Source organism: Homo sapiens, chromosome 8 (genome assembly GCF_000001405.40).
Source record: "Homo sapiens chromosome 8, GRCh38.p14 Primary Assembly".
Taxonomy (NCBI): Eukaryota; Metazoa; Chordata; class Mammalia; order Primates; family Hominidae; genus Homo; species Homo sapiens.
In genome coordinates this window covers 101,289,105-101,308,651 of record NC_000008.11, presented here as the reverse complement: position 1 = coordinate 101,308,651, position 19,547 = coordinate 101,289,105, and the positions used below count along the sequence as shown (strand labels likewise).

The 19,547-nt window shown below is 43.4% G+C and overlaps 1 long non-coding RNA gene and 1 pseudogene across 1 annotated transcript in view, besides 1 other annotated feature; both read right to left on the bottom strand.

Moving 5' to 3' along the window:
* On the bottom strand, positions 1,225 to 1,284 carry RNU7-67P (RNA, U7 small nuclear 67 pseudogene; annotated as a pseudogene).
* Positions 10,985 to 11,155: a silencer, noted in NCBI's record as "fragment chr8:102309725-102309895 (GRCh37/hg19 assembly coordinates)". NCBI's record gives its function as "represses an EF-1alpha promoter that drives an FKBP-Casp9 reporter gene in an ReSE screen in HepG2 liver carcinoma cells {active_cell/tissue: HepG2}" and the evidence as "EXISTENCE:reporter gene assay evidence [ECO:0000049][PMID:32094911]".
* LOC107984005 (uncharacterized) overlaps positions 15,118 to 19,547 on the bottom strand; it is a 79,776-nt gene continuing 75,346 nt past the window's right edge. Inside the window, exon 5 of the long non-coding RNA XR_928468.3 lies at positions 15,118 to 15,407. This is a non-coding gene — a long non-coding RNA (uncharacterized LOC107984005). The remainder of the gene's footprint in view (positions 15,408 to 19,547) is intronic.

Genomic DNA, 19,547 nt, shown 5'->3' with positions numbered 1-19,547 from the left:
TACATTAAAAACCAAAAAGCATTGCTGAGGGAAATTAAAGAAAGAGAGATATGTCCTATTCATGGGTCAGAAAACTCAATATTGTTATCTGTCCATTCTCCCCAAATTGATACATAGGTTCAATATAGTTCCAATCAAAACCCCAGGCTCTTTGTAGAAATTGACAAACTAGGTCTAGAATGTATGTGAAAATGCAAAGGACCTAAAACATGTAAAGCAATTTTGAAAAAGAAGGTTACTGTGGAATGAGTTATATTATTTGATTTCAGTACATGCAATAGAACTATATAACAATGGAGAGAGTGGTATTTGTGTAAAGACAATCATATAGGTCAATAGAGCAGAGAGTCCAGAGATAGTCTCATTCATATGTGGTGAATTGGCTTTTGACAAAATAAATAAATAAAAGGCCAAAGTAATTAAAAGGCCAAGGTAATTAACTAAGGAAAGAATAATCTTTTCAACACATAGTCCTGGAACAGTTAGTTATCCAAGTGATCCATATGTAAGAAAATAAATCTTGACCCTTATATCAGACCATACAGAAAGACTAACTCTGAATGAACCATAGAGCTAAGGGTAAGACATAACGTTATACAACTTTCAGAAGAGAACACAAGAAAATCTCTGTGACTTAGGCTTGGGAAAGATTTCTCAAATCGAACATAAGAAGCCTGAAGTACAAAAGAAAAAATTAATAAACTGGACTTCATTAAAATTAATAACTTTAGTTCTTCAAAAGACACTGTTTAAAAATGGAAAGAGGCCAAGCAAGGTGGCTCATGCCTGTAATCCCAAAACCTTGGGAGGCCAAGGAAGGAGGATCACTTGAGGCCAGGAGTTTGAGACCAGCCTGGGTAACATAACAAGACCCCATCTCTACAAAAAGGAGACAAAAGAATAGAAAAAAGACAAGACAATAGAAATTATGCAAAATGAAATGCAGAGAGAAATTTAATTTTAAAAAGTATTTTTTAAAACTTTTTAAAAATAGTTTGCCAGATATGGCAGCTCATACCTGTAAGCCTAGCTACTTGGGAGGCTGAGGCTGGAGGATCTTTTTCTCTTTTCTTTCTTTCTTTTTCTCTTTCTTTCTTTCTTTCTTTCATTCTCTTTCTTTCTTTCTTTCTCTCTTTCTTTCTTTCTTTTCTTCTTTTCTTCTTTCTTTCTCTCTCTCTTTCCTTCCTTCCTTCCTATCTTCCTTTCTTTCTTTCATTTTTTTTTGGAGCTTTCCGGTGAATACTGGGAAACCTGCTAGACAAATTCTAAAAGAGCTGTAACACTACATGGATATTTTTCAATACATATATTGAAAAACTTTTTGTAGATTTGCAATAATTTGAAAACATTCAAAGATGAACTGTGCAGCCTAGAAATATCAAAATTAAGAAAAAGGTATGTCATGAATGCATAAAATGTATGTAGACACTAGTCTATTTTATCATTGACTACCATAAAATATACACAAATCTTTCATATAAAGTTAAAAGTTAACGAAACTTACACACACACAAACACGGACTGTACATGGCACCATTCGCAGTCAAAAGAAATGGAAACAAACATAAAGATGCAGTATTACATCAGAACTGCATAAAATTAACCTGTACATCCTGTGGTACCGTAATAACTTCATAGGCACCTCCTGTTGTTATTGTCATGAAGCTTTCGTTTTAAGAATATCCACTTAACATGTCATGTAAGCTATTCATCTCCATGTGGGCAGTTCATCTCTCCAGTAAGCTGCACATCCAAATAAAAAGTGATCTTTGTTGGTTCTCAGGTATTTTTCATTGTGTTTATTGTAATACTGTAATCCTTGAATAACACCATGGGACAAGTAGGAAGTGCCACCAGTGATGTTGGAAGTGCTCCCAAGAAGCAGAAAAGTCATGTCAGTACAGGAAAAGATTGAGTTTCTTGATGTACCATAGACTGAGGCTTGTAGCTGCAGTTGCCATTTTAGACAGAGGATTCATCTTATAAACAGACAATAGAAACTTACGGTATCGATAAATACGGTACAGTAGTGTAAATGTATTTTGTCTTCTTTATGATTTTCCTAATAGCACTTTCTTTTCTCTAGCTAGCTTTATTGTAAGAATACAGTATATAATACGTATAACATACAAAATATGTGTAAATCAATTGTTTATGTTAGCGGTAAGGCTTCCAGTTAACAGTAGGCTATTAGTTAAGTTTTGGGGGTGTCAAAAGTTATATGTGGAATTTCAACTGCAGGAGTGGGGGGGTGTTGGTGCCCCTAACCCATTGTTCAAGGATCAATCATATATAATAAACCTTTACCACTCGAAAATATTAAGAAAATAAACTAATCAATTTAGGTAAAAAATTGGCAAACTATTTGAACAGACACTACACCAAAGAAGATACGAATTGCCACTACCTACATTAAAAAATGTTATCAGAAAATCTTGAAAATTAAAACTACAATAAATTACCACTGTACAGTCACTAGAATAGCTACAATTTTAGAAGACACATAATATCAAATGTCAGCGAGGATCTGGAGAACTGGCACTCTCAGGCTGTGCTGGTAAGAATGCAAAACGGTGTAGCCATTTTAAAAAACAGATCGGTAGTCTTTTAAACAAAGGCTGCCATATGCCCCGCACTTTGACTCCCAGGTATTTATCCAAAAGAAATGAAAATATTAATCTGCCCAAAGACTTATGCACCAATACTCATAGTAGCTTTATTTATAGTAGGTAAAAACTGACACCAACCTAAATGTCCACCAATGGATGAACAGAAAAGCATATATTGTATGATATTCATAAAATAGAAAACTACTCAGCGAAAAAGAAAGGAACTCAATAATAGCAACAACTTAGGTGAATTTCAAAAGCATCATGCGAAGTTAAAAAAAAGGTTGGCATAAAGATTATAACAGCATGGTTCCATATGTATGAAAGTCTAGGAATTGCAAGATGATGGTAATGGAAAGCAGACCTTTGGTTGCTAGGGGCCAGGAGTGGGAGAAGGGGATTGACTGCAAGGGACATAAGGACATTTTTTGAGGGTGATGTAAAAATTTAATATCTTTACTGTGATGGTAGTTACACAACAACATAATTTCAAAAAATCACTTAATTGGGGACACTTAAAATTGGTGAATATTTACTGTATGTAAATTATACCTAAATAAAGCTGACCCCACCCCAAAATGAAGCATATGTCATCCCCAGTTCACAGATGAGGACACTGAGGCTTGTAGAAGATTGGGAACATGCTTGCATCACAGAACCAGCAGGTAGTGACTCCAAGATTCAAACCCAGGTGACTAAGTCCACAGCTCATCTTCCTTCTTCCACATCTGGCTTCCTCCCTTGCTTATTCATTCCACAAAAAAGTATTAAAGGCTCATGTTAAAAGAACTAGCAGAATAAGTCATGTATTATGAAGGTCCCTTGGCCAAGAATCTATGGTTTTCCCCACTTAGTTCTTACCTCGAAGCTCCTCCTTCATCAGGCCCTTCTCGCAGACTATTGCCCCACCTAGGGCATGAAGGTGCATCTCTGAGATATGCAAGGCTCTCCAAGGCCTGCCCTCAGCCTGGAATGCCTGAGCCCCCTGCCTTTCCCTGCCCACCCTGCCTCACCCTCCCTCTTCCTTCCTCAAATCTGGGTCTTTTGCTTCCCTTATTTCTAGACTCAAATTCACCCCATCCCATCCTCAGCACTTGGACTTGATATTTTCCAGCTCTCCATTATTTTGTTCTTTGACTCCCTTTGGCCTTTGTCACCTACAGCCTATGGACTCCCTAACTAGACCTTGAGCTCTATGGAATGCTACTTATTGAGGTAGTGTGTTCCCACAAAGCACCAGACAGCATCTGTTACACATCTGGCACTTCCAAGCAGGCTCTTGAATCTTCTCAGCCCCACTTAGTTCAACCGAGCAAACCCTCACTCGGCCCCTGCTCTAGTTCACGTCATGCCTGGTGTTACAATGCCTGGTGTTACACACATGAGTAAGACAAGGTCTTGGTCTTCAGGGGCCTGCAGCACAGCGAGGGAGAAAAGCCTGAGAACAAGTAACTACCCATCAGGGCAGTGGACACAGAGACAGAAATATGAGCAGGTCCAGCCGTCACAGAAGGCAGGTGCTTGCTCTCCTTGGGGTGGGCAGGGGCATGATGGGAGCCAGTGTGGACAGCAGGGGAGTCTTCTCGGGGCAGGTGACCCCTGTGCTGGGTTTAAAGAATGGAGAGGAGATGTAAAAAGCCCCAGAAATGCCATGTGCATAGTCATTGACACATGAAGGGGCACAGTGTGTCTGGGAAGCAGACTGCTTCCCAGGACATGAGGTCTAGGAGGTGGCAGGGCCAGGAAAGAAAGGGCTGTTGTTACAAGAATCAGAGGCTAAGCCAGCTGAGAGCCAGATGTGGTGTTAACAGAGGCCAACTTTGACCCAAGTACGGAAAGTAAAGTGATGGAAATAGCATGTACTTGGCTTCCAGTATACGTTAGTGTTGGACACTCTTCTAATCATCTTACAGGTATCACACCACTTGGTCCTCACAACCCAATCAGGTAGTAAGTACCATTGCTATCCCCATTTTACAGATGAGGAAATTGAGGCCTAGAGAGGGTGAGTAATTTGCCTACGGTCAATATGTTTTCAGGAAGTTTGACTCAAGAGTCCAACTTTAATCACTTTGCTTCTCTTATCCCAGAAATACCAGAAGGATTTCAGTTTTTAAAAGGCCTCCAAATAACACTAGGCCAATCATAAGGAATGAATACAGTGTAGGTAAAAATCTAAAATAAAGGAGATAAAGCACACTCAAATTATTTTGAGACGAATGCTCAAAATTACCAAGGAAGGGTATTCCTCCTGGAAAAACAGCTAGAGGTTTGTACACCTCTTAGCCAATCATAAGGAATGAATACAGTGTAGGTAAAAATCTAAAATAAAGGGGATAAAGCACACTCAAATTATTTTGAGACGAATGCTCAAAATTACCAAGGAAGGGTATTCCTCCTGGAAAAACAGCTAGAGGTTTGTACACCTCTTAGTCTGTAGAATAGTAGGGCTATTGTCTGGATAGGATTATGACTTATAAACACGATAAGGTGGAAGTCTACTGATGCTACTGTAAGGTGATGCTGTTTAGGTTACGTCCCCTGAGTGGCGTTTCAAGCATGTTTGGTGGAACTTGGCATCTTCCATGGAATAACTACCTTTTCTTCTGAAAAAGGAACCAGCAATCTCCCCCTTAGCTGTTCCCAGATTTTCTAGGACTCAGGGGGGATCCCTGTGACTCCCAGCAGCATAAACCATAGGCTCAGAACACACAATTTCTTTAGGCCACTGGCATCTTGAAGGTCCTAACTAACATCCTGTTGCTCACAGAACACAGTCTGAATTCCTTAGTTTGGCATTTGAGGCCACCCACAACTACCTTTCTCTATTTATCTATCACCACTGCCCCCTACACACATCTGCTCCAACCCAAATGACCCACCATCCCTCAGACTTGACTTGTGGATTCCTAAGACTGGGTTTTCACTCTCAGAGTCGCTTTGGCCTGGCTGCACCAGCCTTGCCTCACTCCCTGCTGTCCCGTTAAACAAAATCCAACCCATCCTTCCAAGGCTCAACTCAAGCACAGCCTGGTCAGCCCCATGAGAAGCAACCTCTCTAGGGTGTCTGGTGTCTCTTTGTGTCTTTCTCACTGCTCCTCCCATCCTCACCCCATCTTCCCAGAGGGGCAGGACCAGGTCGTATACAAGCCTGAATTCTCCCCAGGAACCATGACCGGGCCTGATAGAGACCAGGTTCTTATTAAATATTTGCTGAATGACCACAGAAATCACTTCTTATATTCACTGCCTCCAATTCCTAAAAATCTCAGACACCAGCAGTCTCAGATAAGAATGTGTCCTATCTTGAAACGAGTCACCAATAAAAAGAATATTTATACGTTTTCTCTATGGCTTGGTCTAGAACATAATAATTCACTGTTGAGAAATTCTTGATGTTTGGTTTATTTCCTCAAGCCATAGTGTAAGCCAGTTTTCTTTGTTTTCACCTCTGTACTTTGGAGAACAGCTGGTGCCCATATTTGGCATAATGGTCCTTGGGAGACCTTAGAACTCTCTTAAGCATGACTGGCTGTCACTCAGGGCAGCATGTTTATCACAGGATATCATGGTATCTTCTGCATAGAACTCCATAAAGGGGAGCCCCTATGGTGTAAGTAGCCCACACATCTTTTAGTCCTATGCCCACCTAATCAACACCTGCTCTTCACTTGAAGATTTTATTAAATCAACTTTCTCCTCTCCAGGTTAAATAACCTCACCTCCCCCAGGGATTATCTCTGGACTTCTCCAATATTTTCAAGTTGAAATAGACTACATCATTTTTGTAAGGGTCAAGGAGAAGCTTCCAAATATATTAAATCTTGCATGTGTACATGTGTAGGGTGTGTGAGAGAGAGAGACACAGACAGACAGAGAGTATGAGGCTTTCATTCTAAAGATTGGGTTACAGTATAAAAACAACAAACCAGTCTAAAGCTTAATGAACATAGGGTAAGCATTTGGAAGCCTGCTTAAGTACTTGGAATAGCTCTTCTAACAGCTGGGACCTCTTGTCATTTTAGCTCCAGGAACTGATCAAAGACCACCAAACAGCCCTTTATGTGGTCACCTCGGTATGGTCCCAAAGCAGCAGATGTTGGGAGAGACAGAGAATGGAATCTCCCACTCATTTCACGCTGGGCATTTTTAACTTGTTGGAGTTATTTCAAGATTCTTAGGTTTGACTTCTCTGGCCCTGACCCAGAGATTCTTCACTGCTTGGGTCAATCCTAAAATAGTGGTTGAATTTGGTTTTGCATTTGTGCTTTAGGTAAATCTCAATCACTGTCTCTGTTTACAAGCACGCACACATATGAACAAACAGACACACACTCACACCCACACACAAGATGGTGTACACCCAAACTGTTGACTGTGTCCAGGAAGAGGCTTGCCTGTGGCTCCTTTTCTAGGGGAGACTCTTTGAAGCACCCCTTCCAGATCTTAGACAAATAAACCCAGTTCTATGTTTTGAGCAGCAGATGGCGCTGTGGACCGCACTCTGCGGGGCGATCTAGTGTGATTTTTGAGGGATTTTACAACCCCATAACAGAAGGGTGGGTGCTCTCCCCCCAGAGCCTGGAGTTAGGGACAGTCTCCATTCTGACACACTCTCCTGCAATCTTACAAACATTATTCATCCACCACAAGCCTGTGAATGGATCATAAAATGAATAAAAACCGCCTCTTGGTCATGTATTCATTTGCTCAGCCACGATTCAGACCGTGCTTCCTCTCTGCCGGCTCAGTTCTGGGTACCGGGATACGGTGGCAAACAACACAGATGGTTCACTGATGCCCCTGCCCATGCAGAACTTTCTAATTGAGCAGTCAGACAACACAAACACACAAATAACTCTGTCATGTAATATCTGTTAGCAGAAAAAAAATAAGCAGGCTCTTTGAAACTGGCTGGTTGGGGAAAGCATTTTTGCGGGAGGTGACATGTCAGCAGAGGCCTGAATGATTCTAAACAGCTGGTTCCAACCTTCGGCGCACATTAGAATCACCTGGGGAACTTTTCTAACCCTGGTGTCCGAGGCCCACCCAAGGAATGCTGACCTAACTGATCAGGGGTGATTTCCGGGCTCTGGGGGCTTTTAACTGTCCTGGGTGACCTGAATGTGCGGTCAGGGTTGAGAGCTATTCACTCTAAGTATCTAAGCAGGAAATCATGCACTTGTTAGGAAATTATCCTGTAGCTGCATGAAAAGTGTTTCTGCTATTCAGAAGAGCAAAACAGTGCCTGGGACTCTGTTGCTGAGTGAAAAACAATCCAGCTGGGCAGCAGAGATCAGCCAGCAAACTAGGAATCACCCTATGCTCTGACAGTGCTCTAGGCTGGCGAATTGTCTTACTTCTCTGAAGAGTGGAGGGAAACATGGCCACTTCCCTCTCCTAGGCCCACTGGAATTCATTTCCAGGGGCCCCTGGGGAGCAAGGGCTGTCCTACTATCCTGCCATGTTAGGAAAGGGAGCAACCCTGTTTTTCTCTCCAGATAAATTCAGGTGACTGGCCAGGAGCTGCTAATCCCACACCACCACCTCTTCTGACCTTGAACCTGAACTTCCTGCCTCTCCCATTTCTGCTCTGGCATTTATCAAGAATCTTAAAGGAAAGGGAGGTCTTGGATTCTGAAGCTGATGAGGGAGTAGAGCCATGATCTCAGAGCCCGATGGATTCCAGCCCTCGGCCTTCAGCTCCCACGCCTTGTTCTGTCAGTCTTTCTCGGGGCACCTGGGTCCCATCTCCTTGGGTGCCAGAATGAGAGGTGGTGATAGATGCAGCTTGGCTGTCCCCTGAGCATTTCCTTGTTTCTCTTTCAAGCAAGCTGGAAATGGTCTTTCCTCATCTGAAATGCTCACCAGGGCAGCTGGTCACATCGTCCTCCTCAGGCAGTGCTTGCAGGCAGTTTGCTCTCAGACTCAGAAATGCTCACGGAGGCCAGTCTGAGGATCTAGACCAAGGACAGACATGCTAAGGAGAGAGAACCCTCTCTAGTGAGATCTCCTTGGTATTTGTCCTGGTACCCGAGGTCACAGTTCTCTCTCTTCCTTTTTTTTTTTTTTTTTTTTTTTTTTTTAGATGGAGTTTCACTCTCGTAGCCCAGGCTAGAGGGCAATCTCGGCTCACCACAACCTCCACCTCCCAGGTTCAAGTGATTCTCCTGCCTCAGCCTTCCAAGTAGCTGGGATTACAAGCATGCGCCACCACGCCCAGCTAATTTTTGTATTTTTAGTAGAGGCGGGGTTTCTCCATGTTGGTCAGGTTGGTCTCCAACTCCCGACCTCAGGTGATCCGCCTGCCTCAGCCTCCCAAAGTGCTGAGATTACAGGAGTGAGCCACCATGCCCGGCACTTCTTCTTTACTTTTAATCATGAAAAATCTAAAACACACACAGAGGGAGAATGAATACTAAAGTAAAACCCACACGCTCCATCACCCAACTTCGAAATGTATCAACAGGCTGCCAATCTTACATCATCTCTCTTCATCACTTTGGGAAATGGGACTAGAGAGTTTCAAACTTGTCATTTTACCCATAAATACATGAGAAGAATGTCTTTAACTGATAAGGGCTTTTTTTTTTCACCATCGTGCCTTTCCCATCTACCATCATATTAGCTTATATTCATATGTCCCGTGTGTCCCAAAGGCCCGTTCCTTTTGTTTTGTTTTGTTTGAGATGGAGTTTCACTCTTGTCACCCATGCTGGAGTGCAATGGCATGATCTTGGCTCACTGCAACCTCCGCCTCCTGGGTTTAAGCCATTCTCCTGCCTCAGCCTCCCAAGTAGCTGGGATTACAGGAACCTGCCACCACGCCCAGCTAATTTTTGTATTTTTAGTAGAGACAGAGTTTCACCATGTTTGTCAGGCTGGTCTCGAACTCCTGACCTCAGGTGATCCACCCTCCTCCGCCTCCCAAAGTGCTGGGATTACAGGCGTGAGCCACTGCACCTGGCCTTCAAAGGACACTTCTTTTAAACTGAGGTCAGGTTGGTGTCTGATATAGGCAAATGTCTTACTGATTTTTGATTTAACCCTCTTCAGTTATCTAAACCCTTCTTGCTGGGTGAGGAGCAGGGAGCTTGGTAGGAACATTTGCCTTTGGTCTTGACCTGAGAGGTTTAAGGGGAGGCACTTGGAACTCAGGCTTAGACTCAAATCCAAGATCAGTCCCTTCACAACTTAGTATGGGAGTTCCCTGAGTTGCTGAATTTTTCTGAGTCTCCACTTCCCAGTCTCTCTTATAAGGAAGACAAGCTTACTTGTCATGATGCTTAACATTCATGGAGAGTGGTCTGTGAAAGTACTTGACAAAAGTAGATAAACATTAGTACATTATTATTGTAGTGTGTAATAATGTAAACATTTTTACATTATTTCCCTGTCAAAAAAGATATTAGTTGAGTTTTATTCTCTAATATGAGACGTTAAGTCTGAATTATCTGGATAACTCTTAAGAAACCCATTCATACTGGGAGTGGTAGTGCGTGCCTGTAGCCCCAGCTACTTGGAAGGCTGCAGTGGGAGGATCACTTGGGCCAGGAGTTCAAGGCTGCGGTGCGTTGTGATTGTGCTTGTGAATAGCCACTGCACTCCAGCCTGGGCAACATAGCAAGACCCCACCTCTAAGAAAAGCAAAGAAAGAAATCTACTCGAGGTTTAGTGGCCTTGTCCTTAAAAGAGACCTCCCTAGTTAAACCACTCTTTCAAGTTTAGAAGTTTAAAAAAAGCAAAATTCACTGTTACTAGCTCCCTCAGTCATTAGAAGATGGCCTTTAACTCCTGGTTACTTTTAACTCTTTTCCCTGGAAGCCGTTCACTTACAAAGGCAGGATGAACAAAAATCGAACCATGTGTTCACGGGGATTTAGCCGGAGGTGGGATGCGGAATCCTAGTTTATCTCTGGGCGGAAGAGGCTCTGTTGCACTTTATTAGGTCAACCCCTGTGCAATATAAATTCCATGAGATGCTATATAGGTAACTTATTCACGGTGTTTTAGGAGAGTAAATTGGTTTCCTGTTGTTGCTGTAACAAATTACCATAAAAGTTAGTGACTTCAAGCCACACGCACTTTTAATCTTACAGTTCTGGAAGTCAGAAGTCTGTAGTGAGTCTCACGGGGCTAAAACCAAGGTGTCAGCAGTTCCTTCTGGAGGCTCCAGTGAAGACTCTGTTCTTTGCCTCCCAGTTTCTAGAGGCTGCCCATGTTCCTTGGCTCCTGGCCTCTTCCTCCTCTCACTCAGACCTCTTGCTCCCCGCCTCTCATCTCCTGCTACCCACTCTGTTCTCCTGCCTCCCTATTACACGGGCCCTTGTGACTACATTGGGTATGCCCAATGATCCAGGGTTATCTCTCCATCTCAAAATCCTTCACTTAATCACATCTGCAAAGCCCCTTTTGCTAAATATGGTAATATTCCTAAGTTTAGGGAATGAAGTCTAAGCCTCTGAGTTTTGGGGTAGTGTGTCATGCAACAGTAGCATTCTTCCCCCTGCCTCCACCACCAGCCTGCCTACCACAGGGGAAGAAAGAGCTGTTGGAAATCTAGGCCTCACAAATCACCTCAGAACTGTCTCTTCTTTTTAGATCTTCCTGGGTGTGGACAGTTGACAGTCGCATACACTGTGCTCTGGGAAATCCAGGGCTAGTCATTCAATGGAAAGTAGGAATTTGGGGCCTCAGATGAGATAACATTGCTGCTCTTTTCTCCCTTGAATATGGAACTTTCTCAAAACTGTGAGCCTCCATTCACAAATAGCTATGTAGTCATCATCAAATGGTATCAGTTTTGGACCTTCCCTGTTTATATGAAGCTGTGCAGACATTATATAAATTTGCCATTCACCTTAAATCTAGGCAGGTTCTGTGAGTGTTTCGATCAGGTCCAGGCTTTAAGAGTCAGGAAACTTTCATTTCCTGTTGCTCAGAGCACGGGCTCTGGGAGCCCTCCATGAAAGAAGCTCAACTGCTTTGCTGGAGAGACAACATGGAGAGGCTCTCCTGGGAGAAGAAGAAGGGCTCAGCTGAGCATTGCCTTCCAGCTGTCCCTACCAAGGCACCAGGTGTGTGTGTGGCCTGACCCTCCAGACAGACCAGCTGCCAGCTGATAGCCACTGAATGTTCCCTATCTATATCACAGGCTGCAGCCAAGTCCTCCCTAAATTCCTGATCTATAAAACTGAGACAGAAGAAAGTGATTGTAGTGTTAGTCCTCTAAATTTGGGGGTAGTTTGTTATGTAGCAACAGGCATCCACAACAGAATTTGATGACTGCCATGTGCATTGTGAGCTAGTTATTTTCTACAGGATCTGAGGATAGAAATGTAGGGGGCATCGATCTGCAAATCCCAGTCAGTATCCACATCACATAGTGCTGATTTCAGACCCCTCTCTCTGCATAGTGATAAACTAATGAGTTTACTCATCTCTGGAGCAGGGATCATTGAAATGGGAGTCACAGAGTTGTTGGGGTGACAAAAGAAATAAGAAGAGCTTTAAAATGTGAGAAAGCCAACCCAAATGTTTTAGTTAGCAATGGCAGTTACAGTCACAGTATCACAGGAGAAATGAAATGGAGAATAGTCATTCTTGTTTTAACATTGTCTTGTTTTAATATTGTCTGGTTTTAAAATCGCTTGTTTTAATATTGTCTCCAAGTATGGATATTGATCATGGGTTTAAAGCCATTTGACTTTTCATCACAACTCATTTTCAATATTTAAGAAGAAAAAATAAAACAAGGGAACATGAAAACGAATTACTTTTTTCTCCCTGAGAGTTTGGGATCGAATGTGTTACTTGCTAATGTATTATGTAATTTGTGGATTATGTAATTTGTGGACAAATTTATTCTCTTCCTGTCCTGAGCTGACCCCCTTCTCTCGCCTGCCTTCTGTGATTCACATGCACTTTTATGTGTGCCCTTTCACTACAGTGTAATAAAAATCTGCTTTGTAGACTATACTTAAGCCTGTGACTACTATTTAAAATCAATTGTCCTTCAGAAAGGTTGGTCAAGCCTAACACAGATAATGATTAAAGACTGGAATGGAAGAAATCTGCCTCTCCAGGGAAGATGGGTCAGACAATCATGGCATGAACTTGAGCCCAGAAAACAGCCAGCACATACAAGTCTAGAGAGCTGCCTTTGAAGACATCTCTAGTTTAGTCTGCACATAGTGAGATCTGCAAAAGATTAGAAGCTGGAATTCAAGGGCTGTCAGGAACCAGACCAACACAGCCTCTGGGACCCAAGGCCTTTGATTAGAATATACGGAAGTCTGTTCTCGAGTAACTGAGAAAGAATATACAAATGCAGATTTCTTTCTTGTAGAGTAAGATTCTTGGGCCAAATTTTGAATTTTAAACACCAATTTGGAATTTCCGTATGTTTTTGGCTTTTGTGAAAGGCTTTGCTCATTGTTGACTAGCCTACTCTAATCAAAACCAAATCAAACGAATGGGTTTGAAAAAAACTATGAGGCAGGCCTGTCTTTGCTTAGCTTCCCTCCAGGACTGCTGTGTTTGAGGAGGTTAGGAAAGATCAGTGTAGCCTGGAGCAGGAGCTTTTCTGTGCCTGAGGTCTTCACCTTTTCATTTGACAGAGTCCCTGTAAACGTGGGTAACCTGGCTCTTCCAAGATCAGGGCACCATCCTCCAAAGGCAGCATCCCTTGTTTAGAAAGGAAGTGGTAACTCCCTGGATATTAATATTGAAGCCAAAGATGGGATCTCCAGTCCAGTCCCATGCTCTGAAGAGAAGGGGAAATTGCTGATACTGTGTTCCCTGACAGTGATCTACGTTTGCTTGAGCTGAGAAAAGAATGGAGGCGTTCCTTTTACCAGCAAAGCGGAAATTTTTCAAGACTGAATTCCCTGACATTCAGAGATTCTACCCTCAAAACGGCCAAGCCCCAGAACCAAGGTAGTGTGGTGGCCACAGAACACAGCAAGCAAGAGTAATGTGCCCCAGAGGAGCCTGCAGGTGTTAACCTGCAAACCAGCACTGCACAGGTGAGGACAGAGGCACTGGGGGTGAGGTGCAGATGAGGGGCCTCCCAAACTGAAGCCTGGGGGCAGGGCTGAAAGGGCAGCAGAGAGACCAAAAGTAGGAATTTGCAGACAGGCAGGCTTGGCTCTACCATTCATGTGTGCTTTTGTCAAGTCCCCTGACCTCTAGGCTGGAGTTTCCCCATGGGAGAACGAGGGTATCACCTGCCTTGTGCTGGAGGTTGTTTGAGGATTCTGTGTGAGAACATTTGCTGCAGGTCACCCTGATAGCACAGGGAGAAAGTGGGCAGGAAGGAGCTGCTGCAATGTAAGATTCAGGAAGCCACGGTCAATCTGGGGCAGGCAGGGCTGAAGTTCAATGCGAAGTCATTCCCAGCTTGGAGGCGAGAAGCGATGGTTCTACATAAATATTTACGGCCACAATCAGGATTGCTCTGGGATCTCAGGAGAGAGTGCGGGGAGTACCCCTAAGTCTCTCCATCATCATTAACCTCCTCAGCTGTGCAGACAAGGATGGCTGGGCTGGGGACACCAGGTCACACAGTTGAGCTGACACCCACCCAGGCTGTGCATATCCTCAGTTGTTAACAAATGCTTCTATAAATCCCCCACAGTTCTGAAATCCAAGTTCTGTTGCTTTTCCAATCTTCATGTTTCCATCTGGCAAGATTTTTCTCCTTAAAACCAATCAAATTTGATGAAATTTGGCTTCAGATGAATATTTAGAAAAAGAATTAAGTGATGGGTCTTTATTTCTCATTTCTTTTTGCAGCTGTTATTCCAAGTTACCAATTCCCAAAATAAACTTGCTTTTTTGCTTTGAACCAAGAATTTTACTTGACAGACAGATGATGTATAAACAGTGACCTTTCTGGATTTGCAGAATTCTTTGACTACATTATTTATCAGCCCACAGGTGCTGCATGTAGCTATAAGATAGATATCAAGAAGACCAAAGAAGAAAATGCCAAACGAAATTCATTTCTGTTAATGAATGCGGTGTCTCTGATGCTATTTTTCCATTAACCACATATCACATCTAGTGTGTGTGTGTGTGTGTGTGTGTGTGTGTGTGTGTGTGTGTCTTCAGGAACTCTGTAGGATTTCAAAACATGTTGTGAATCCTACCTTTTTTGAGATGAGGTCTCACTCTGTCACCAGGCTAGAATGCAGTGGTGCAATCATGGCTCACTGCAACCTTAAATTCTTGGGCTCAAGTGATCCTCCCACCTCTGCCTCCTGAGTAGCTGGAAACTACAGGCGCTCACCACCATGCCTGGCTAATTTTTTTTATTTTTGTAGAGACAGGGTCTCACTATGTTGCCCAGGCTAGTCTCGAACTCCTGGCCTCAAGTAATCCTCCTGCCTTGGCCTCCCAAAGTGCTGGGATTACAGGCGGGAGGCACTGCACCTGGCTGTGAATCTTACCTTTGAGCCTCAGGCTTTGCAGTGGCCCTTCATATTAGGTTAAACAAGTAAACAGCTTGGCCTCACTTTGCTTTAATGTTTTAAAGAAGTCTAGTGTATTTGGGAAGGAAAAGGATGAATAACAATGAACTTTGTTTTTGTATGATGCCTTTTTACAAATACTTTACATCTGCTCACTAATGAGATGATCATGGCGACCTTGGGAAGCAGCAGAAGTTAGACATGATGCCAACATCGACACCTGTGGAAACAGTCACAGAGTTGGCTAGGGCTGGCCTGAGAAGATGTCACAAGCTGATGGTGACGAAGGAAGGTCAGGGCCCAGGTCTCTCTCCTGCTTTCCTTCCTGATGAAAAATTTTAAAAAACAATTATTTTACTTGTATTGTAAGGATAATATTACTCATGAAAAAATTAGAAAATAGAGAAAAGCAGAGAATAAAAATCATTTTAGTTCTACCAGTTAAACACAATTTTTTAACATCAGTTTTCCAGGTCAAAAGGGACATTTTTGAACCAGGAAATAAATGACTCATCTAAGCTTATCTTGTAGTGGATAGCTGCACCCAGCAATCTTGCATTAATTGAGCTGTCATATGGATCCTGGCTTGCAGTTTGGAGCCAGGTGTCTGCCCACACAATGTGAGCTGAGTGGCACCAAAAGAGAGCCATTTGTACCCACTCCCTTCTTCTAGGGCCATTGTTAAGTCACCTAGGATAAGTAATCCTGTCTCCAGAAGGCAGATCCCCATTACCTATAGTTAGGCCTCATGGGATGAGTAACCCATTAGCACCCATTAACAGAGATGAGTTTCTCCAATTAACTGGCTCCAAACAAGGCTGTATGGAATGGGATATAGGGTAGGTAACTGTCGAAACTAGCGTGAGGAGTCTTTTCTAAACTATAATGGAGGGGGTGGGGGGTCTCTCTGGTACATGTGGGAAGCACAGTTAAGGCTTATTCTGCAGCTGCTGCCATTATTGCCACTGATGCCACCATCCTATGAGGGGTAGATTGCATTTTCCAAAGATGGAGATTACTATTTCATTCCACAAGCTCTTCCTATAATGTGACTGGTGCCCACCCACTGAGAGGTGGCATCTGTTTTTCCTCCACTTGAATCTAGGGACAAGCCTATGGCTGCTCAAGTCACTGAAGAATGGTGGAAGTGACTGATGCTCTGTGACTTCAGAGGCTAGATCCCAAAAAGGTCAGAGCCTCCATCCACTGCTTGCATTGCTTTCCACCTCTCCTCCCCCTCCAAGCCCTCCCAGTGCTCGCTTTCCAGCCAACATGCAGCGACAAAGTCCAAACAAGTCCAAGTGGAGAGGCCACATGGGGAGGGACTGATGACCTCAGCCAACAGCCAGCATCCACCACCAGACATGTGAATGGACAAACCTTCAGAAGATTCTAGCCTGCAGTCTTCAGGGCTTTCAGCTGAGGCCCCAGACACTGTGGAGTAGAGTCAAGCCAGCCATCCTCTTGTCTCTGCTCCATAGAATTCCTCTGCCCTGATCAAATTCCTGACCCACAGAATGTGTGAGCCTAATACATGGCTGTTTTATGCCACTATGTTTGGGAATGGGGATGCGGGGGGAGGTAATTGTTATGCAACCATAGTAACCAGAGCATAGGTAGCCATTGACACCTAACTGATGAAAGACATCGAAACCAAGAAAATCAGATAATCACTTTGTAAAAATATATCAGTAGCTGTACTCTTGAGTTATGAACTCTGCAGTCTAAGAGCCAAGATAAACACCCTGCCCAAGAATTAGAAATTGCATAATTCCAGATTTCATATGTCTTTACTTGACTAATTCTCCACTACCATCCCCCTAAAGCCGGGGGTGTTCTAGCCAAGGTTGTCCAGGAACCACATAAAGGCCCCCAAACTGTAACCATAAAATCCATCCTCGATTTCCTCTCTTCCTGGGTCTCATCAATGGAAACAATGGTAGTGGTTTTTCAGAAGCCATGTGGGAAGATGGGCTATGAGTGCTATCATAGCAGATGTTAAGGTGCAGTCTCTAGACACGAACTTCCAAGAGTGTGTGCTGGCTGTCATGTCTAACATTTTTAAGTCAGCTAAAATTAGTGCATGTTTAAAAATGTTTAAAAAGTCCCCCTACCCCTCTCCCCATCCCCAGGAGTAATCACTTAACACTTGAGAGGACAGTGGCACATTCATCTGGCACAAGGCCCAGAATGAGACTGCCTGGCTTTGAATCCCAACTTTGCCACCAACTAGCTATGTGACTTTGGCTCCAGCTCTCTCATCTGTCAAATGAGGATAACTTACCTTCCAGGTTTTTGTGAGTTAAATGAGTTACTATAGATAGAGTACTTAAAGTGTCTAACACATACAAGGTCTCGGTGTGGTTAGGCTTTACTACTACTGCTGTGGCTCATACTACTATCACCATCCTCTTTATTACTAGCAGGACTTTCTGTAGCTTTGATGGGCTCAGGAAATGGCAAATGTTGGAAGAAACCCAACATTTCTTCCAGAGGTAGGGAGAGGACTCCCAGACCAGAGGGTGACCCATCTGGGTCCACTGACACTGTGGGATGGGAGGGCCCATATCACAGCTTTGCCTCAGGCTGGTCCTATCCATGCATTTAGGGGGGCTCGTGGGTTATTGAGCCCTTGGTGCATCTCTAGGTGTCACAAATCACATTTCGTAGCTTATTGCAGAAAAGTGAGAGCTAAACATGGTTCAAATATTTGATATAAGAAAAAAAATCGGCTGGGTGCAGTGGCTCACGCCTATAATCCCAGCACTTTGGGAGGCAGAGGCAGGCGGATCCCTCAAGGTCAGGAGTTCAAGATCAGCCTGGCCAACGTGGTGAAATCCCGTCTCTACTAAAAATAGAAACATTTGTTGGGTGTGGTGGCACACACCTGTAATCCCCACTACTTGGGAGGCTGAGGCAGGAGAATGGCTTGAACTCAGGAGACAGAGGTTGCAGTGAGCCAAGATCATGCCACTGTACTCCAGCCTGGACGACAAAAGTGAAACTCCATCTCAAAAAAGAAAAAAGAAAAGAAAAAAAAATCAACAAAACCTGGCATCATCCTAACAGTTTAGGAACTCTAACTAGTTGTGAGAAGAAAATGCACTTACCCAGTCCTTTTCAGGAAAATTCCTTCAGCTTTCATCTCTAGAACTCCATGAGGCTGTCCTTAAAAATACACCTAGTTCCTTCTGCTCACATTCACCATGCTTACTGGAATTAAGGATTCTTCACGCAGGCAATCAGTAAATGCTATGGAGGGAATGTGCCTGCAGCCTCCCGCAACCCACCCGCAATAGCAGCAGAGATGGAAATCTACAGTTTGGTCTTCTCAATAGGGTGGCCCTTGAGGAGCAGTCAGCCTATCCCCTCTGAATAGGTAAATTATCTGATCTTGTGAGCTGAGCATGGCTAACGACCTAGAAATTTCCTTTTTATATCAACTCAGATGCTTTGGCTACAAACAGAAAAACCTGAATAAAAGTCGCTTGAATAATAAGAAAAACTAGTTATCTCACTTAACCAGGAGAAGGAGGAAGTCCCAGGGCTGTCAGCTCTGGGACTCACAATGGTTTAAAGAGTCCAAGAGCTTTTTCATTAAAAAAACTTTTCCAACGTACACTCCTCCCCCATACTTTCTCTTACATGTCATTGGTTAGAGTTGTGTCACATGAGCATGCCAAAACCAATCCCTGGGAAGGAATTACCATGATCGTCTTAGACTCATCAGCACTCAGCTAAAGACTAGCCCAGTGTGGGGACCTGGGAGAACAGGGAGGTCAAGTATGTTGCAGTTAAGAAATTCATTTATCTTTCTTATTCCAAAAAGGCATCTTTGGTGATACATGCAGTTGGATGAGATAACATTTAATAGAATTAAATGATGATGAAGAAGCAAAGGAAACACAAGGCTACATAAAATGAACCCTGAAATATGATCAAGTATCAAAAATACACCCCATGCATCCTCTAAGTTTGCTAAGGGGAGACCACAAACATGGCTTTAGGCGTCAATTCAGGAAGGCTTTTCCAGAGGTTGCAAATGGGTGACTTGTGGGCCAAATGCAGCCCCCAGATATATTCCATTTGGGTTTTTGCAGTATTGTCTGTTTGTTATTGGTTGGCTGTCAGCCTTTAAAAAATTGGAATATTTTATATTTTTTTAAAAATATGTATTTCTGGCTTTTTTGTTTTTTTGAGAGGGACTCCCATTCTTTTGCTCAGGCTGGAGTGCAGTGGCACAATCTCTGCTCACTGCAACCTCCGCCTCCCGGGTTCAAGCAATTCTCCTGCCTCAGCCTCCCGAGTAGCTGGGATTACAGGCATGCACCACCACACCCAGCTAATTTTTTGTATTTTTAGTAGAGACAGGATTTCACCATGTTGGCCAGGCTGGTCTCAAACTCCTGACCTCAGGTGATCTGCCCACCTCGGCCCCCAAAGTGCTGGGATTACAGACAGCCAT